Source organism: Homo sapiens, chromosome 22 (assembly GCF_000001405.40).
Source record: "Homo sapiens chromosome 22, GRCh38.p14 Primary Assembly".
Classification (NCBI taxonomy): domain Eukaryota; kingdom Metazoa; phylum Chordata; class Mammalia; order Primates; family Hominidae; genus Homo; species Homo sapiens.
Window position 1 is genome coordinate 37,738,482 of NC_000022.11, and position 18,648 is coordinate 37,757,129.

General features: G+C 57.2%; 2 protein-coding genes and 1 long non-coding RNA gene across 6 annotated transcripts in view, besides 9 other annotated features; 1 reads left to right on the forward strand and 2 right to left on the reverse strand.

The window, feature by feature from the left end:
* Positions 1–18,648, forward strand: part of TRIOBP (TRIO and F-actin binding protein) — a 79,509-nt gene that overhangs the window by 41,434 nt on the left and 19,427 nt on the right. For 2 of the 3 annotated variants that reach the window (NM_007032.5, NM_138632.2), the window contains exons 1-5: positions 7,753–7,939; positions 13,291–13,347; positions 16,396–16,503; positions 16,620–16,709; positions 17,069–17,178. In NM_007032.5, the coding sequence (NP_008963.3) occupies positions 7,757–7,939; positions 13,291–13,347; positions 16,396–16,503; positions 16,620–16,709; positions 17,069–17,178 (548 nt within the window). In that variant the 5' untranslated portion in view covers positions 7,753–7,756. Of the gene's footprint in view, positions 1–160; positions 239–2,413; positions 2,552–7,752; positions 7,940–13,290; positions 13,348–16,395; positions 16,504–16,619; positions 16,710–17,068; positions 17,179–18,648 lie in introns of those variants that run through there. The other variant, NM_001039141.3, reaches the window with a different exon arrangement.
* Positions 127–8,818, reverse strand: LOC124905115 (uncharacterized). Its single transcript, XM_047441691.1, has 3 exons — positions 8,641–8,818; positions 2,134–2,278; positions 127–1,224 (listed from the first exon to the last, which is right to left on the reverse strand). The coding sequence occupies exons 1-3, from the start codon at positions 8,656–8,658 to the stop codon at positions 1,064–1,066; spliced, it is 324 nt and encodes a 107-aa protein (XP_047297647.1). The 5' UTR covers positions 8,659–8,818; the 3' UTR covers positions 127–1,063.
* Positions 2,164–2,681: an enhancer, noted in NCBI's record as "H3K4me1 hESC enhancer chr22:38136652-38137169 (GRCh37/hg19 assembly coordinates)". NCBI's record gives its function as "activates a minimal SCP1, AML or CMV promoter by ChIP-STARR-seq in naive H9 embryonic stem cells {active_cell/tissue: H9 hESC(naive)}" and the evidence as "EXISTENCE:reporter gene assay evidence [ECO:0000049][PMID:30033119]".
* Positions 2,682–3,198: an enhancer, noted in NCBI's record as "H3K4me1 hESC enhancer chr22:38137170-38137686 (GRCh37/hg19 assembly coordinates)". NCBI's record gives its function as "activates a minimal SCP1, AML or CMV promoter by ChIP-STARR-seq in naive H9 embryonic stem cells {active_cell/tissue: H9 hESC(naive)}" and the evidence as "EXISTENCE:reporter gene assay evidence [ECO:0000049][PMID:30033119]".
* On the reverse strand, positions 5,829–7,463 carry LOC102724378 (uncharacterized). 2 transcript variants are annotated; one of them, NR_160696.1, is made up of 3 exons: positions 7,154–7,463; positions 6,990–7,059; positions 5,829–6,356 (listed from the first exon to the last, which is right to left on the reverse strand). It is a non-coding gene; the product is annotated as an uncharacterized LOC102724378 (long non-coding RNA). The 2 variants fall into 2 exon arrangements; NR_160697.1 differs by having other exon boundaries at positions 7,138–7,463.
* Positions 7,323–7,622: a silencer, noted in NCBI's record as "silent region_13695". NCBI's record gives its function as "represses an Ori minimal core promoter by ATAC-STARR-seq in GM12878 lymphoblastoid cells {active_cell/tissue: GM12878}" and the evidence as "EXISTENCE:reporter gene assay evidence [ECO:0000049][PMID:35858748]".
* Positions 7,963–8,192: a silencer, noted in NCBI's record as "silent region_13696". NCBI's record gives its function as "represses an Ori minimal core promoter by ATAC-STARR-seq in GM12878 lymphoblastoid cells {active_cell/tissue: GM12878}" and the evidence as "EXISTENCE:reporter gene assay evidence [ECO:0000049][PMID:35858748]".
* Positions 8,413–8,522: a silencer, noted in NCBI's record as "silent region_13697". NCBI's record gives its function as "represses an Ori minimal core promoter by ATAC-STARR-seq in GM12878 lymphoblastoid cells {active_cell/tissue: GM12878}" and the evidence as "EXISTENCE:reporter gene assay evidence [ECO:0000049][PMID:35858748]".
* Positions 13,059–14,258: an enhancer, noted in NCBI's record as "CDK7 strongly-dependent group 2 enhancer chr22:38147547-38148746 (GRCh37/hg19 assembly coordinates)". NCBI's record gives its function as "activates an origin of replication core promoter dependent on BRD2, BRD4, P300/CBP, MED14 and CDK7 cofactors, with strong dependence on CDK7, by STARR-seq in HCT116 cells {active_cell/tissue: HCT116}" and the evidence as "EXISTENCE:reporter gene assay evidence [ECO:0000049][PMID:35650434]".
* Positions 13,059–14,693: a biological region, named in NCBI's record as "CDK7 strongly-dependent group 2 enhancer GRCh37_chr22:38147547-38148746".
* Positions 14,073–14,693: an enhancer, noted in NCBI's record as "H3K27ac-H3K4me1 hESC enhancer chr22:38148561-38149181 (GRCh37/hg19 assembly coordinates)". NCBI's record gives its function as "activates a minimal SCP1, AML or CMV promoter by ChIP-STARR-seq in primed H9 embryonic stem cells {active_cell/tissue: H9 hESC(primed)}" and the evidence as "EXISTENCE:reporter gene assay evidence [ECO:0000049][PMID:30033119]".
* Positions 16,341–17,540: an enhancer, noted in NCBI's record as "CDK7 strongly-dependent group 2 enhancer chr22:38150829-38152028 (GRCh37/hg19 assembly coordinates)". NCBI's record gives its function as "activates an origin of replication core promoter dependent on BRD2, BRD4, P300/CBP, MED14 and CDK7 cofactors, with strong dependence on CDK7, by STARR-seq in HCT116 cells {active_cell/tissue: HCT116}" and the evidence as "EXISTENCE:reporter gene assay evidence [ECO:0000049][PMID:35650434]".

An 18,648-nucleotide genomic window follows, 5' to 3' on the forward strand; every position in this document is an offset into this window, starting at 1 on the left:
TGATAGACACTGGATGGTTGGATGGATACATGGATCTACTGATGCTGGACGTTAGATGGGTGTTGCATGGACAGATGATAGAATGGATGGATGAGGTGGACAGATGCATGCATCCTGGAGAATAAGTTGGGCTAAGCTGTGTTCTTTTTTTAATCTCCAGTTCCAACCAGAGGAGCCTGAGGAGTCAGAACCAAGCAGAGGCCAAGACCCCCTGACTGACCAGAAGCAGGCAGACTCGGTAGCTGGGTCATGGGTGTGGGTACATACGGTGGGGAAGGGAGGGGGAAGCAGGTTGGAGATGGGCTTCATTCCTCAGAAGAGCCCTAGAATCAACCAGACCAAAGTTGGCATTGCCATGGGGTCATCTATGTGCATGGTGGGGCCTTAAGAAGAGGGGCTCTGCAGGAGCCACCTTCTGGCTTGGGGACCTGGGTAGGTGGGCGATCCTGGGGTCAGAACCCTAGGCCATGCTTCTCATTTGCTGGGACTGAAAAGGTCAATGTCTTTCCCTGCGCAAATGATGGTTTGGCCCCAGTGGTCTCTGTGGGAAGAGATCCTTCCGGTTTGAAAGGGCCAGGCCAGGCTGAAAGAGCAGGGCTTCCACGAGCAGGAGCCAGAGAGCTGAGGATGTACCCAGTCAGCCAGGCCTGGAGGGTCTCCAGGGTCCTGGAGGCGGGAGAGATATGTGCGGGGGTGGGACCCACGGATGCTGCTCTGAGGCCTGGCTGCAGCTGGTGAGCACAACTCTGCCCGCCCCTCCCCGTGACCTACCAAACAGACTGTTCTCGTCACCCTCAGCCTCCAGAGAGGTGAGATCAGAGTTGAGGGCCGTGGGGCAGTGGGAGGTGGGGGAGGAGGAGACAGACTGTTTGGGGCTGTGTTTTCCGGTCCTGCTCTTCCTCCCGTTGCCTCCTGAAGCCAGGGGTGGCAGGGAGCGTCCATTGGGCAGCATAGCGCCCCCCAAGTAGGGCCCTGCCGTGAGTCAAAGCTGGGGGAATTCTGCCCAAACCCTCACTGTGCAGATGAGGAAATGGAGGCAGGGGAGTCGTCCCAGGTTATACAGTCAGTGGCTAGCTGGACTGGGACTAGAACCCAGGGCCCAGGAACCACCCAGCGCTCTCTCTGCACCTCCACCTGGCACCCATGCTGCCCCCGTCCCTGCCCCGATTTCTTGCGTGGCTTCGAACGGCAGTGCTGTAACTTCGAGCAGTCCAGTCTTCCCATCTGTGGAATGGGCGGGGACAGGGGACACTGGTCGCTAAAGGCGCTGCCAGCCCTCCCAGGGACTCTGACAACTTTGCTCTTCCTCTTTCTGGGTTATTTCTTCATATCCTGGAGCCAGAGTAGTGAACGAGGCGGAAACAGCAATGCCGGGGTGCCCCTCTAGTCTCCATGAAACGGGCCCGGCCCATCAACGTGGAAAATATCTCAACCTACCCCCACCCCTAGGCAGCCTTGACTGGTCAGAACTGATAACCACCTCATTCATGCATTCTTTCACACACACTTAGTGAGCACCTTCTGTATACCCAGGTGTGGGTCACAGGTGAGTCGGAGCGCCATCAAAGAGTTCAGTCTAGTGAGATGGTTGCATGCCTGTGGTCAGGACTGTGATGGGGAATGTGGTAGCAGGGTCGGGGGCACCCCTACCCCCAAAGCCCTCCTGGACCTGTGCTTTGATGCTTCAAGTTCCACTTCCAAAGAGTCTGCAGATTCCAGAGCGAGGACCCTGGGCTCTCTCCTACCTTCCCAGTAACCCATGTGTGGCTTTGGACAAGTGCCTCTGCTTCACAGGGGCCTTGGTTTCCCCAACGAGGATGACTCCAAAGAGGGAGCATTTGGGGGCTCTGCTAGGAATGTGTGTAGAAGTCCACAACTCATTCCCTTTGCTTAAGCTGGGGTCACAAACCTAACGCCCTGAAGGCCAGGCAGGTAACAATGGTGAGAAGGTGGGGGGGCACCGAGGGCACTTGTGTGACTCCTCGGTTCCAGATAGCTGTTGCCATGGGGAAGACGGGCCCAGAGTTTCCACATCTTTCGATATTTCAAGAAACACTGGAGATATGTATTTATATGTGAAATCTCTAACCTAATGTGAAATACTCTGAAAACACTATGTGGGCAGAAACATACCTGTGGTCTGCACCCCCTCCAGCTGGCGCCCGTGGTTTGACTTTAGGGTGATGACGTGCACACCTTCAAAGGTGCTGAGCCCTGGGAGCCTTGTCAGTCCAACACGATGTAGTGTGAACAAGTTAACCAGCTCGTCTCGGCAGTTCTGGGAGGAGAGAAAGATGGGAACCCTGGGGCTCCATGGTGGGGGGCACCACAGAATGGGCAGGGGAGGCTGTAGCCAGGGGTGCCCCCATCCTGCCAAAGGGACCTGGGGCCAACACTGGACCCTGTTTGACAGGCAGACAAGAGGCCAGCAGAGGGCAAGGCTGGGAGCCCGCTCAAGGGCCGACTGGTGACCTCATGGCGGATGCCCGGGGACCGGCCCACGCTGTTCAATCCGTTCCTGCTGTCTCTGGGGGTCCTCAGGTGGCGAAGGGTAGGCTGGCTCCAGTGGGGACTGGAGGGGTGAGGGTGGATAGAGACGGGGATGGGAGGGAGGAGGGGGCTGTTAAGCAAAGGAGAGAGAGTGGGGGCTGAGGAGGAGGCACCTAGGGCCGTCGCATGACAGGAGAGGTGGGAGCAGAGCTCTTAAGCTCATCCTGGTCTCAGCAAGCGAGTGGGTTTCCCACTTCCGGGGCAGGCTTGGGGGCTGCTTTCAGCTTTTGGAGTGAGGGGTGATGGAATAATCTACACAGCTGAAAGCTTCCAATCAGCAGCCTCTCGCCAGCCCTGGGCCAACGGGGAGCCAGGTATGGGGGAAGGGAAGGCGAGCTTATAAGTGGCTCTGGGATTGCAAAGTGTGTCTCAGACCTGGGCCTGAGCCAGTTTCACAAACATCTGGCGTTACGTAACCCATCCCCTGCCCAGAGAGGCCTGGAAACACTCAAGCCTCTGGCTGGGTTTTCCACAAGGGCAGGCAGCTGAGACCCGCTCCCTCCCACCCGCTTCACAGCAGGACAGAAGGGGCCTGGCCATCTCCAGCAGCCACAGGCTGGCTCATGGGGTCTCTTCTCTCTTTGAGAGGCTGACTCTCTTACTCACCGCTGTTGGCTCTGAGTCCAGCACTAGGCTGGGCACCTCAGAGACAGTGTGCCCATTTTACAGATGAAGGGACTGAGGCCCAGGGAGGTGAGCTGACTTGCCTGAGGTCGCACAGCTTGGGGTATAAAGGAGCTGATTTTCCTCATTCTCAGATGAGAGAAGGGTTGTAGCCAAACTTACTGAGCCTCGGTTGCCACATCTGTCTATTAGGAAAAAGTCTGTGGAGACTCAGGGCTGCAGAGAGGGCTCAGGGAGATCAGGATGCATGGAGGTTGCGGGGCTGTTGTCGAAACACTAACTTTCCCATCCACTTCAGAATTTCCTTTTTTTAAAAAATTAAGACGGAGTCTCGCTCTATCGCCCAGGCTGGAGTGCAGTGGCACCATCTCTACTCACTGCAACCTCTGCCTCCCGGGTCCAAGTGATTCTCCTGCCTCAGCCTCCAGAGTAGCTGGAATTATAGGCGTGCGCCACTGCACCCGGCTAATTTTTTGTATTTTTAGTACAGACAGGGTTTCACCATGTTGGCCAGGCTGGTCTTGAACTCCCGACCTCAGGTAATCCGCCCACCTTGACCTCCAAAGTGCTAGGATTATTGGTGTGAGCCACCACGCCAGGCGTTTTTTTTTTTTTTTTTTTAAATTAAGATAGAGTCTCGTTCTACCCCCAGACTGGAGTGCAGTGGCACCATCTCGGCTCACTGCAACCTCTGCCTCCCAGGTTCAAGCGATTCTGCCATCTCAGCCTCCCGAGTATGTGGTACTACAGGCGTGTGCCACCACACCTGGCTAATTTTTATATTTTTAGTAGAGATGGGGTTTCACCACGTTGGCCAGGCTGGTTTCCAACTCCTGACTTCAAGTGATCCGCCCGCCCTGGCCTCCCAAAGTGCTGGGATTACAGGCGTGAGTCACCCAGCTGAGCCCAGAATTTCCTTTCGCTGCTCTTTGTGGTTAAGGCACCGAGGGTGAGCAGGCAAGCATGGTTATCTGAGTAGTGTGGTACCTTTAAGCCATGGGCAGGAATTACCTTGTCTAACTAAAGGTCACCAACACACAGCACGTCTGGCAGGAGGGGGCAGGTAAGTCCTTGGTAGAGCGAAGGAGGAGCGAAGCAGGGAAAGCACTCTGGGGTAATGATGCTGGCTAACCAGCACTTATTGTATGCCTACTACATGCCCAGCTCTGTGTTCACTGCATGGCGCCACCTAATTGCATTTGATCCACACTCCCAGGTGCAGTTAGACGCCTACTGTCCATTTTACAGATGATGAAGTGAAGCTCAGAGAGGGAGGGTCACTTGCTCCAGGTCACACAGGGAGCAAGGGGCAGAACTGAGATTCAGACCCTGCTCTGGCTGACCTCAGAGCCCAGTGCTTCCAACACGCCCCCTACACCACTGCCTTCACATCCTGATCTCTCTGAGCCCTCCTGCAGCTCTGGGAGTCCCCACAGATTTTCCCCATTAGAAAGATGCGGCAACCGAGGCTTGGTGAGGTTGGCTACAGTGGTTCTCTCATGTGGGAGTGAGGGAAATGAAGAGCTAGGGATGGAACTGCCAGCAGGGCCTCCCAGTTACACAGAGCAGATTTAAACTTCTCTTGGGCTGAAGCAGTGAAATTAGCCCAAGGCCAAGAGCCAGAAAGCCTGGAGTCGAGTTCTGGCTTGGCACCTAACTTGTGTGCCCTTCTCTGAGCCTTACCTTATTATTCTCAGTAGAGTAACGGTTTGAGACTGGATAACCTCGAAGTTTGGTAGCTCTGGTCTTTGCCAGTTTAATAACTCACCCCTGGGTCCCTGAGGCTGTGCTGTCTCTGACCTGCCAGGATGAGTTGTGGTTTCTTCATTGGTGCATTCATTCATTCGAGCCGTGCTTACGGAGGATGTGCTGTGGGCTTAGGCCCTAGGCTGGTTTCCAAGATGTAGACAAAAAACATTCCAGCCCTGGCCACTGGAGCCCAGTTAGGTAAGGACACTGACATGTAACTGATGAGAACAGTGTGGTCACCACTTTAGTGGGGAAAGGTACAGATGTAGGGAGCACTGGGCCAGCAGTTCCTAAGTCTGCTGGGGACACTTTGGCTTCCTTTGGTCTGAGACTTCAAGGAAGAAATTTTCCAGGCCAACAAGCATTGGGAGGGGGAAGGGGAGAAAGAGAGAGAGAATGTGTGTGTGTGTGTGTGTGTGTGTGTGTGTGTGTGTGTGTGTGCTGGGTGTGTGTGAGTGTGTGCTGGGTGTGTGTGTGTGTGTGTGCTGGGGTACAGAAGACAGGAAGAGAAGTGTTCCAGGCACAGCAGAGAACCATCAGGGGGTAGAAGGACCTGTCTTATCCTGGGAATTCCTAGTAGTCCAGTGCTGTGTATCTTTTTTTTTTTTTTTTTTTCTGAGATGGAGTCTCGCTCTGTTGCCTAGGCTGGAGTGGAATGCAGTGGTGTGATCTTCACTCACCGCAACCTACGCCTCCCAGGTTCCAGCGATTCTCCTGCCTCAGCCTCCCAAGTAGCTGGGATCACAGCCATGTGCCACCACGCCCGGCTAATTTTTTGTATTTTTACCAGAGACGGGGTTTCACCATGTTGGCCAGCCTAGTCTCGAACTCCTGACCTCAGGTGATCCACCCGCCTCGGCCTCCTAAAGTGCTGAGATTACAGGCATAAACCACCGCGCCCAGCCTCCAGTGCTGTGCATCTCTTTATTTACTTATTGTATTTTGCAAAATTGACCAAAGTATGTGTCTCTCCAGCCTGTCAAATGAGAATCTGGAAGGCCAGGATGACAGGCAGGAGCCAGGTTGTGATGGTTCCTGACTGCCTAGAAGAGGAATGTAGCACTGATCTGTCAGCATTGGTGATGTGTGGAAGAACTTTGAGCAGGGAAGTGGTCTGGTCACTGTGTTGCGGGTACTAGGAGGAGTCGCAGGGGCCAGAAAAGCCTGGAGGAGGCTGGTGCTGTTAGGTGCCCAGGGCACTGGACCAGGACCCTGGTGGTAGGTGAGGTCTCCTGCGTGTTCATTCACTCTCCCAAGGACTGACTGCCTGAGTGAGGTGCAAGGGTAGGGTGAGAAAACTCAGCCCGGGGTGCCAGAAGGCCAGTTTCTAGAGTTAGATGGACTTAACCTTGGCCTCATTCCTCATGGTGGAGAGACTCCTGGCAGCAAATGCTGGGAAAGAACTTCAGCTCCCTGGGCCTCCATTTCTTTATCTGCAAAATGGGAACAGTAATTATAAAAGCAATAATTTTTTTTTTTGAGAGGGAGTCTCGCTCCGTCTCCCAAGGTGGAGTGCAGTGGCACAATCTCTGCTCACTGTAACCTCTGCCTCCCGGGTTCAAGCGATTCTCCTGCCTCAGCCTTTTACATAGCTGGATTACAGGCGCCTGACACCACGCCCGGCTAATTTTTGTATTTTTAGTAGAGACGGGGTTTCACCATGTTGGCCAGTCTGCTCTTGAACTCCTGATCTCAATGATCCACCCACCTCAGCCTCCCAAAGTGTTGGGATTACAGACCTGAACCACCGCGCCCGGCAAGGGCAATAATTTTTGAACCCCAAATCAAGATGACAGAATAATTGAAATGCCAATTATTCCAAGCTTCCCTGCCTCCTTGCCTAAGGATAGCTAATGAGGGATAAAGAGGTTGTCCTAGGTGCCTTACTTGAATTAACACTTAATCCTTCCAGCAACCTCATGAGGTAACAGCATTACCCCATTTTACAGAGAGTGAAATTGAGCACCGAGAGGTGCCTTGCTTAAGGTAACACTAGGCTGGAATCCCCGTGCCACACGAACTTCCTAGTGCATTTAGCAACCAATTCCACCACGGTCCCTACTCACCTGCAGGAAAAGAGCATCTAACAAACGGCCCAGCGTTCTGGGAACCTGAGCAACGGGTGCACGCCCACACCTGAAAAACCCCAAACCAAAAAAGACCCATTTGTGAGGAGTGGGCATTTGGGAGAGACCCTGCCATCCAAGAACTCACTTTGTGTCCAGCTTACTCGCTAGGAATTCCGCCTCTTCCTGTGTGACCTCGGGCAAATCGGCTCACCCCTCTGAGCCTCCGTTTTCTCATTAGCAAAATAAGACCTCCCTCCCAAGTCTGTGGTGAGGACGAAAATCGACTCTTGGCGAGTGGGACCCGCTGAGTCGTTAGTACTGGGTGCTTTGCCCCGGTCCCCGCCAAATCACGGCGCCGAGCCCTAGCGGACCCATCGCTCCGGGGCCGGGTCGGGAAGCGCAGCCTGGGCGAGTCGTGCCCACGCCCGGCCGCCCGCATCCTCCGCCCCCGCGCCATTGCCGGAGTCACCTGCACCCTGGGCCCTTCCTTCCTCCCAGCGCGCCCGCGGCCCGGGCCCGCCCGCCCTCCGGCCGCCACCGCCCTCCCTTCCCTGCGGCCCCATCCGCCCACCCCGCCGTCCCGCCGTCCCGCCGCCCCGCCGCCCTAGCGCGCCCGTCCCGTTGCGGCAGGTCCCGCCCCCGGCCCGTCTCGCGCTTCCATTGGCCCGCCGCGGCCCCCGCCGCTGTTTGTCTCGGCTTCCCCGCCACCCATTGGCCCGCTCGGGTCCTCCCAGGAAGTTTGAAAAAAAAAAAAAAAAAGTTTTATGGGCGGATGGAAGGGGCCGGGGCAGCGTCGGGGAAAGGAAGGGCCGGAGGCGCGGCGGCGGGCGGCCGAGAGGGGCGGCGGCGGCGGCGGCGGCGGGGTTCCCGCGCCGCGGAGCCCGGCCCGAGAGCCGCGTCCACGTTCCTGCCTCCTGCTCCCGCCGCCCTGGGGCGCCGCCATGACGGTGAGTGCCCCAGTCAGCCGCCCGCGCCCGAGGCCGGGAGAAGGGCGACGACCCGAGGCAGAGCCCAGCCTCTCCCCTCCGGGGCAGCCCCCTCCTCATTTCCCGAAGGCGAGAGGAGGGCTGGGCCGGAAGACGGGGCCACCTCCGAAGCGCTTTCGGCCAGACCGGCCTCACCCTTCCCGCAGGCTCCTCCTCGCCTTCCCTCGCCCACTCGCCCCCGGGAGCCCAGGCGACCCTGAGGGGACGGAACGACCCGTCTCGGGCGCCCCCTCCTCACACTTGCGGCACCAGTCACGGGTGGATTCGGGGCGACCCTTTCCCACCTCCCCTCCAGCCCCCTAGACGAAGACCCGATTCCCCAAGGCGGCCAGGGGCCCCAGGGAGGAGCGGAGGTGGGCCTGGGCTGGGGAGGGGCGCTCGTGGGTGCGGATGGGTCGCGCTGACCCGGGCCTGGGCAAGCCAGCCCTCCGTGTGGCCGCTGGCCCGAGGTCGGGTGGGCGAGAAGTGGCCGGACCGCCCCACCCACAGCCCGGGAGGCAGTCCCGGGACGTCTGAAGCAGCGGGATACCACGTCTTCCTGGGCTTGCACTTTGCAGCGGTCCTGGGGCCTTGGGACAAGCCTGCGAGTCTGAGTAGGGGGCATGATGGCAGGGGTTTGCCTTTCTCATGGGGGTGAGCTGTACCCAAGCCCCATCAATTACCTGTGCCATAGTTAGCATATTGAGCCTCACAGCTGGGTTCGCTGGACTCCCCACTTCACAGCCAGATAAACTGAGGCTTGGGGAGGGGCGCTGGTGAGTTGCCCGAGGTCACCCCAAGTATAAGAGAAGGAGTAGCTCCTTTCCCTGTCCTTCTGGCCCACTGACCGTGATGTTCGGGAAGGGAGGGGTGGGGCTGCTTTTGGTTTCTGGCTAGTGCTTCAGGGAGGCTCTGACAGCCCAGTGGCCCTCCTGGGGGAGGATGAGCAGGGTGTGTGTGTGCACAGGCGGCAGTAGGCCTCTTTCAGGGGAGTGGAGACCCTGCGGAGGAGTGGGTGGGCTGCTGGGGGCGGGCTGGGCTGCTGGGGGGCGTGGCACGCCTAGCCCCTGCCCTGTGAGTGTGATGGCCTGGACTTCCTCGGCGTCCTCCTGGACATCCTGCCACCTCCCTGCTGGCCCTTCCTGTCGTCAGCAGCCTCCCCTTTTCTGTCAGGAGCAGAAGGGATGTGGGGGGAGGAGCTGAGTCAGTGTCCTGGGGCCAGGAGGAGAGAAGTTGCCTTGCCCACCGGGTGCCTGCCCGGCCCTCAGCCGGGTGCTTTCACGTTACCAGATTTGATCCTTGAAGGTTGGTAGTAACATCTTAATCAAACAGATGAGGAAACCAAGGTGTGGCGAGGTGAAGTGTCATGCCCCAGGTAACTCAGTGAGTCCCAGGCTAAGCCAGAATTTGTATCCAGGTCCGTTCCAGCTTTCTTTCACAGTTGCCTGTCCTGGGGGCAGCACGTGCTGAGCAAGGGTAAGGCTGCCGGAAGCAGCGTGTGGGGTGCTTGGAAGATGGACAGCACATCCCTGCTGGTGGCAGCAGCCTTCCTGAGGGAGGTGTCCTCCTGTGATTATAGGGCCTTGTCAGGTGGAGATGGACTAGCGAGGAGACAGCAGTGTGGACAGAAACGGGTGGTCATGTTTGAGAAGTAGCAAGAGCGTAGGGAAGGGGTCTGGGGAGGAGGGCCTCACTGCTAGGGCTTGGACAGGGGCAATAGAGAGCCATGAAAGCTTTTAGAGCAGAGAGGAGGCTATGATCACCATTAATAGTGTTCATTGAGTTCATCCTGGCTGCCATGCAGACCTCAGCCTGCTCTCAGCTGGTGCTCCTCCTGTACCCACCTCACACCCTCCTCCCCTGGCCCCCGTGCCCTGAATCAGGGATCCATACAGAGCAAGTGGCACAGGTGTGTGAGTGTGTGAGGCTCCGGGGCTTCAGGGAGTTGGGATTCTCTTCCACCCCTTTTGCCTTTGCCTGGGTGCAGCTTTGCTCCCGGATCAGCCTTCCCCCTCGCCTGCTGGGCATCAAATTATATTTGGTCCCTTGTTTACTGTCTCTTTCCTACAGTCCACCAGGGCAGGGGCCACAGCTCTTGGTCACAGCTAATTTCCTGGCCTAGAACAGTGCCTGATAACTTTAAAAAAAAATTTTTTTTTCTGCAAACACTCCCTGAGCCCCTATCTGTGCTGGGTCCTGGCAGGTAAACAGTGTATGTCCCTGACTGTGAGTTGCATCTAATCTAGCCTGTGAAGGATAAGTAAAGGGCCTCAAGATAGTCACGGATGCAACAGAGGCCTCTGAGAGGGGCCATGGGAGGGCAGGACGGGGGCGGCTGGTGGTGCGGTGAGTGGCATGAACTGTGAAGGGACCTCAGAGGTGGCCATTAAGCTGGGTCTTAAGGCCTGAGTAGCCGCTTGCCTAGTCATCGGAGGAGGAGGAAGCATAGTGTTTCAGGCCAAGGACATGGCACATATGAAGGGCCCGGAGTCCTGGTGTGTTGTGATCGGCAAGGAATATGCAGTGGTATAAACAGGGGCCCCTCAGCAAGGGGAGGCCAGGCTGGAAGAGTGTGATGAGGCTTCCCTGCCATCCTGAGGCAGCTGGACTTTGTTTTAAAGCCACCTGGAGACCGGGTGTAGTGGCTTATGTGTGCCTGTAATCCCAGCATTTTGGGAGGCTGAGGTGGATGGATCACTTGAGGTCAGGAGTTCGAGACCAGCCTGGCCAGCATGGTGAAATCCCATCTCTACTAAAAATAAAAAAATTTGCTGGACATGGTGGTGGGTGCTTGTAATCTCAGGTATTTGGGAGGCTGAGGCAGGAGAAACGCTTCAACCCGGGAGGTGGAGGTTGCAGTAAGCCGAGATGGCGCCATTGCACTCCAGCCTGGGCAGCAGAGACTCTGTCTCAAAAATAAAGCAAGCCACCTGGAGCCGTCCCTGGAACTGTTAAGCAAGCCTGGGATACCAAGCCTTTTTGAGTGAGTCCCGCCAGCCCGAGGGTGTGTAGAGGGGTTGTGTGCCTGGCCAGGTAGGAGGCGGGGCTGTGAGAACCTGCCAGTACTCCCGAAAGGCGGAAGGAGAAACTGAGCTTCTAGCAGGTGAAGAAGAGGTAGCTGGGCCTGAAGAGCCCTGTATGAAGGGGCATCGTGGGAGATTTAGATGATCGGACCTTTTGACCCTGGGGACAGGTTTCCCTGCCAGTTTAAAAACTCACATTGGTTGGCCGGGCACATTGGCTCACACCTATAATCCCAGCATTTTTGGAGGCCGAGGTGAGCGGATCACTTGAGCTCAGGAGTTTGAAACCAACCTGGGAAACATAGGGAGACCCCATCTCTACAAAAAAAAAAAAAAAAAAAAAATTAGCTGAGCATGGTGGAGTGCTTATGTCGTCCCGGCTACTTGGAAGCTGAGGTGGAAGGATCGCTTGAGCCCAGGAGGTTGAGTCAGCAGTAAGCTGTGATCACACCACCACACTCCAGTCTGGGCAGCAGAGCAGGGCCCTGTCTCAACAAAACAAAACTCAAATTGGTGACCTTCTATCCCCAAGGTCACTGTGTCATGGCGTGCCTGACATGGTATGTGATGTGTCTGTACTGGGCTCTGGAGGATCACTAGGTTTCTCCTTGTACAGACACGTTCAGTCCTGTCGGAAGCTGCGGGAGGGGAGGACCGCCCCGTCATTTGCCACATCAGGCAGCCAGGACTCAGAGAGGGGATGTGACTTAGGAAGGTCACAGTGACTCCACTTCCCAGGCAGCCCTAGAGGTTCCAGCCTGACAGCTTGTCATTCCTGCCCCAATCTCCCAGCCCTGGCCCAGGGACTTTCGCCTGGGACTGCCCAGTGGTGCCAGCTCTGTGGGCCCAGGAAGCCTGGCTCCTCCGGGCTAGGTGGGGGTAGGGGAGATGGCCCAAAAAGCACAGAAATTTAGACCAGGGGGTAGATATTTCCTCAGCAAGTTTTTCCTGAGCCTTGCTGTGGTCAAGCCCCCTGCAAGGCCCTGGGGCCACAGGAGGTCCCAGACTGAGGGGAAGTGGAGCCAGGTGTGGTCACCAATCTTCATTCTTAGCTTGGGATCGCCCTGGGCAGCCTCCGTCTCAGGTGGAAGACGGGGTGGGCAGAATACAGAGCAGCGGGACAAACGCAGCCCCAGGGGTTCTCGGCCGTGAGCAGAGCCTGTGTCTCTCCCTTAGACAGGTATACAGGGAGGGGCTGGGATGCCAACCTACTGGGTCCCCCGACTGTGGCTGTGGAAGGTTCTGGATCTTCAGCTGTCCCAAGCCCCGGTTGGTCCACTTCCTATACCTGAGAAGGGGCTCCGTGGGTGGAGAGTGGGTCGGGAGAGGTGGCCAGGCAGGGTGGCTGTGGTTTCCAGCTGCCACTGTCACCGCCCACTCCACTGAGCCATGCCACCCGTTCTCTGCAGGCAACCAGACACCTTGGCCTGGTGAGGCCTCGATGTAGGGGCTGATAGGTAGGCTCAGAGCCATGGCAACCGGTGGCCACCTCCTCCCTGCCGGCGCCAGGAGCGGAGACTGCAGAGGGACCGGGACTTAGATGAGAGAGGTCTCCCCAGCAGGAAGGGAGGGTCTGGTGGTTGGCACCCACTAGATGAGCATGGTCAGAAAAATATCAGGATGAGCAACTTCTTTATCTAGGCCTGGGTGGGGGTGCCTGGCACAGGTCTCCATGGGACATGCTGCAGCTGGTAGCCCCCAGACCCCGGGGCTGTGCCCCCCTGGGCGGCACCCAGAAGGTAGGGCTTGCCAGGACTGACCCTTCCCAAAGAGATCTAGGCGGGGACCAGAGGGTTTCTGACCCCAGCCTGTGACTGGCTCCACCTCCCATAGTCTCCTGGAGCCGAGGAAAGGACAGGACTGGCGGGCCCATGGGAGGGTCCGTGGGGCACTTGGTCCTCGTCAGAGGGAGGAACTGGACAGTTCGCGCAGTGCTGCTGGTCTGGACTGCCCTCTGAGCTCTCAGGGGGTCTCTATGCAGGCAGAGTCCTCCCAGCCCCTCTCTCCCATTCTTGGGCGAGGGGTCGGCTGGAGAGAGGCCCCTGGGACATCTGGGTGTGTGTGCCAGCCACCCAGCCCAACTTCTTGGCTCTCTGAGTGCCACTATCAGGAAAGGGGCCAGGGCTGCCTCAGTGGCTGGGAGGCCTGCTTGGACTTGGGGGTTACCTAGGGCCTTAGCCCTCTTGGCTGGCTTCCCAGGAGCTCGGTCCCACAGGACTTGGGGACAGGGTGGGTGCAGCACGCTCCCCTCACCAGCCCCCATTGGCTTCCTGCTGGACCCAACTCACCTCCCTCCTCATCTCCCCACAGCCCGATCTGCTCAACTTCAAGAAGGGATGGATGTCGATCTTGGACGAGCCTGGAGAGGTAAGAGGACTGAGGCCGGAGGGGAGGAAGCTGGCTTGTGCTGCTGCTGGGCCCCTGGGCAGCCCAGGAGTGGGGGTGGGGCTGGGGCTGGTGTGAGAACCCTGGGGGTGGGGCTGGGAGGGGTGGAGGCTGCCCATTAGGCTTCTGCCTCCTGGAGCAGTCTGCAGTGTGTAAAAGGGATCACAGCAAGGGGCCGTCTAGCCCCTCACACCCAGTGCCCCATCCCTTGATCTCATCAAGAGTCTCTTGGCCCTGCCACCTCAGTAGGAGCCTGGGTGGGAGTCAAGGGTCTTGGGTGGAAGGGCTCGTAGAAGCTGTCTGGCCCGAGACACAGATTCCTAAAGCCTGGTCTGAGGGGGGTGGGGCTCAGGGCGCAGGTGCTGGGGTTTCACCCACCTGGATCCCCACTGGTTGAGTCAAAGCCTCCTCTAGTCCTCAGTGGCCACGTCTGTGACATGGGCATAATGGATAATGGTGATTCTTTCTAGAGTGGATAACAAGGTCAGAGAGATCAAGCACGTACAGGTGCCACAAAGCTCCTGGCACTTACTGTGGGCTCAGCTAAAGACCCTTCCCTTCCTCTGGCATATGTGTCCTTGGAACCAGCAGGGACAGTGGCTGTTTCCTCAGCTCTGTTCTTTCGGCTGCCAGGCTGGCTCCCTGCCCACACTGCCTGGGCAGGAGCGTCTCCCCACCCCTGCCCTGCATGCGCCTGCTGCTCTGGTCTGCGTGCAGCCTGCATGCCGGAGAGGGCTTTGAGCCAGAGGGGATTTCATTGTGTTTCCGGCCCACATGTTTTATTCCCTCCAGCCCACAGCCTTCCCTACCCGCTGCCTGCCCGCTGTCCCTGGTGGCTGCTCTCTAGGCTCACACAAAGCCCGGCACCCCGCCAGTGACCCCTTCCTGGCCTCCCCACCCAGGGTCCCCGGAGGGCAGAGGGATTACAGGCCCCACCCAGAGCTGGCCATTAGTCATCCTCTATCACAGGGTTCTGGAATGTCCGAACTGGAAGGGCCCTGGGAATTCAGCCAGCCCAACCCCTTGGTGCACAGACAGGAGACGGGCCCATGAGGGTGTTGGTCTCTTCCAGGCCTAGGAGCACCTGGGGCAGACCCAGGCTCAGAACTCAGCGCACCTGAGGCCCATGGAGCTCCACCCAGCTTCCATCTCAGACAGTCATAGGCTAGGCCTGGAAGAGCTAAAGAAACCTCTTGGCATAGAACCCCTGTCCTACTTTACAGAGAGGCAATTGAGGTCTGCAGCAGCAACTCCGTTTACTTAGTGAGAGGAAAATGCTTCTAAGAGGCCTGGCCTCCCAGAACAAACCCAGCAACCTGGTTGGTGTCCATCCCTATGCCAAGGGCCATGACAGCCATCCACACAAGAGAGGATGGGCGCCGCTCGCCTCACCAGAAGGTCTAGGCACTTCTTTTTTTGTTTTTTATTTTTGTTTTTTTTTTTCTGAGGCAGAGTTTCACTCTTGTTGCCCAGGCTGGAGTGCAGTGGCGCAACCTCGGCTCACTGTGTCTTCCGCCTCCCGGGTTCAAGCGATTCTCCTGCCTCAGCCTCCCGAGTAGCCGGGATTACAGGCATGCGCCACCATGCCCATCTAATTTTTTTTTGTATTTTTAGTAGAGACAGGGTTTCTCCATGTTGGTCAGGCTGGTCTCGAACTCCTGACCTCAGATGATCCACCCTTCTCAGCCTCCCAAAGTGCTGGGATTATAGGCGCGAGCTACCGCGCCCAGCTATAGGGACTTCTTAGTAGCCCTACTTTATGGTTCAGAAGACTGAAGCTCAGAAAAGTGGAGACACTTGCCTAAAGGCACACAGAGAGAAAGGGAACTCTTGGATACAAAACTCCTTTTCTCAGGGAGGCAATGTGGAAAGAAGCAGAAGGTATCGTCGTTGCATGCCCCTTGAGAACTTACCATCTTCTTGAGGAGAGAAAACTAAGTACTTGAAACAACCAACAGCACAGACAGGGCTTGGTGATGTGAGGGAACCCTGGGAGGGCTGGGGACCGGGTGATATGCACTGACCCTGGCAGTGGGCGGGCCGCGACTGGCATTCCAGTGGAGTGACCAGAAGCCCAGAGGTGGGCTGGGCTTGGCATACTATCAGGCTGTTCTGGCGCCCCCACCCCTTTCCTACATGTCCTGCCAATCTAACCCCAGCTGGAGCAGAGACAGGCACTGCAGGAAGGCACCCAATCACAAATCCTAAACTTACAGCTTAGGGCGCTCTCACCTGCTGCGGATGTGGGTAGCCAGCCTACAGTTCAAGAAGCAGACCGTGCATCTGGGCGCGGTGGCTCACGCCTGTAATCCCAGCACTTTGGGAGGCCAAGGCAGGTGAATCACCTGAGGCCAGGAGTTTGAGACCAGCCTGGCTGACATGATGAAACCCTATCTCTACTAAAAATACAAGAAATTAGCTGAGCATGATGGCGGGCGCCTGTAATCCCAGCTACTCGGGAGGCTAAGACAGGAGAATCACTTGAACTCAGGAGGAGGGGGAGGTTGCAGTGAGTGGAGATTGCACCATTGCACTCCAGCCTGGGCAACAAGAGCAAAACTCCTCCATCTCAAAAAAAAAAAAAAAAAAAGGCAGCAGATTGTGGCTGGCACTCACTCCTACTCCAGGGCTCCATCCAGTCCTACTTCCCAGGGGACCATTGTCCCTGACCATGGTGATGATCTGGGGGAATATGGAAAAAGACGTAACGTCCTGGCCCCGCTGAGTCCCTGACTTGCTTACACAGGTCATCACCCCTCCCTGTCTGCACTGGGTCCGGGGTGCCTGAGGAGCCTTGGCAATCTTAAAAGGAGCTCCAAGAAGGAAAGGGAGGGTGTGGTTACGGAGGGGAAACCAATCCATTTCACAGATGCTACCCCTGAGGCTCAGAGAGGAAATGGAGGGGCCAGGTCTCAAATTGGCATTTTCCGCCTCCCCACCCCTCCTGTGTGCAGCATAGTGAGTTTGGCAGCCACACAGGACACCTGTACAATCACACACACTGGCTCTTTCATTCCATCCTCCTTGCAGCCTCCCTCCCCCTCGCTCACCACCACCTCTACTTCGCAGTGGAAGAAACATTGGTTTGTGCTGACAGATTCAAGTCTCAAATATTACAGAGACTCCACTGCTGAGGAGGTGAGGCCATGGGTGTACTGATGAACCCCCGGAAGGGCCTGGGGTGGCCTGGCTGGGTTCACTGGGGTGGGTCACACCAGGGCCCACACGGACCATAGTGGGCCCTCTTGCTCCAGGCAGATGAGCTGGATGGTGAGATCGACCTGCGTTCCTGCACGGATGTCACTGAGTACGCGGTGCAGCGCAACTATGGCTTCCAGATCCACGTGAGGCTGTGTGCAGCTTGGGGGCTGGTGGTGGGCAGCATGGCTGGAGGTCCCTGGGGGAGGTTTTGGTGTTGAACATGGCTCACCATGGAGACTGGATCCCTTCACTCATTTACCCAGAGGCCCTATCTTCAGAGCCAGAGCTGTGATGCCAACACTTAGCATATCTGGGGGAGACGCTGGAGCCAGCAGGGCTCTTCCCAGGCCAATGGAAGGGAGGTTTTGTACCCCCTGCCCACCCCAGACTCAAGACCTTAGATGCATCCTGGGAAGGAAGGGCCACCCTCCCTGGGGTCCATAGTGGGGAGGGAGTCATGCGGCTGGCCATGTGGCAACCTACCCATGCGGTGGCCTTGCAGACCAAGGATGCTGTCTATACCTTGTCGGCCATGACCTCAGGCATCCGGCGGAACTGGATCGAGGCTCTGAGAAAGACCGTACGTCCAACTTCAGCCCCAGATGTCACCAAGTACGTACTAAGCTGGACTGGGGCCTTGAGGGAGGCACTTACCCTTGCGTCCCCGAGTGGGTTTCTAGGTACTCACCTGAGGGCTGCACCTTTCTGGGCCCTCGTTTCTCTGTCAACAACATGGGAAGAGAGTAGTGAGCATTCTCGGTATCATCCAGAAGTACACTGAGGGTTTGAGGTTTGATCTGTCTTCTCAAATGTGATGGGGCCTCTTCTCTTTGGAGGAGATGCCTGTGAGTCAAAAGCCCCTGCCAGGTGGCTGTTCTGTCTCTGTGTCTGTGCCGTGGGGGCCGTGTCTAAGCCTGTGTTAGGAAGGGGTGGTTAGGTAGTTCAGCCTTGGCGCCCACACCTCCCGGGATGGGGAGCTCACTCCTTCTGGAGGCTGCCACGGGCACTGGGGCAGGAGGGCTGAGTTACCGAGTGGCAGAGCCCCCCACAGTTTATACCCAGATGCCCATGGCGGGCTGGGACTTGGAGCTGCTGGGCAGCGGGAACAGAGTGTGGTATTAAAGGGGGCTGGGCTGGGTGTAGTGGCTCACACCTGTAATCCCAGCGATTTGGGAGGCTGAGATGGGAGGATCACTTGAGCTCAGGAGTTCAAGACCAGCCTGGGCAATATAGTGAGACCTCGTCCCTACAAAAAATTTAAAAATCAGCTGGCCGTGGTAGGGTGCGCCTGTCAGCTGAGGTGGGAGGATCACCTGAGCCCGGAGGCCGAGTCCCCCAGACTGGCCACACCGCGGCTATTCAGCCTTAGGCCAGAGGCTTTCCTGTCTAGGTTTCAGAGTCCCCATCTGTCACGTTAGCATGTCATGTCTGTACATGTGCCAGGATGTGCCCAGAGCACTTTGTGAACTCTGAAGCACTGTGCAGTTGGACTGTTATTTAGCATCTAGGCCCAGCTGCTTTAAGAAAGAAACCCCGGGCACAGTAACTTCATCGAGATAGATGTTCATGTCTCCCTTCAGAACAGCCCCGAGGTATGCAGTCCTGGCCTGGTGGGGCTCGCTCTGCCGTTTCAGGGGAGCCACCTGCCACACCCACTCGGCAGCCTATAGTCACATGGCTACAAGTAGCTGTGGGAATACTGCGAGTGTAGTTTTTGGCAGGGTGACCACGTACCCAGCTATGACTGTGGATAAAGAGAATTGCCATAGTTGTTCAGAGTCTCTGCAACTTGTGTTCTGTGCACCCCGAGGTCCCGCCTTCACCCCATCAGCAGTGACTGGGCATCCCCCTTGCCACTGTGAGCCTCGGGAACCTGGGACATTGGTCTCCTACATCACCTCATTGATCACCATTTGCAAAAAGCCCCCTGCCTGCTTTCCACGTTCGCCCACCCTGTCCTCACATCCATCCTGTGAGAGGCGTCGCTGTCCCACATTACAGATGAGGTCACTGAAGCTCAAAGAGGGCAAAGAGACCAGTGTGGTGGTTCACGCCTGTAATCCCAGAGCTTTGGGAGGCTGA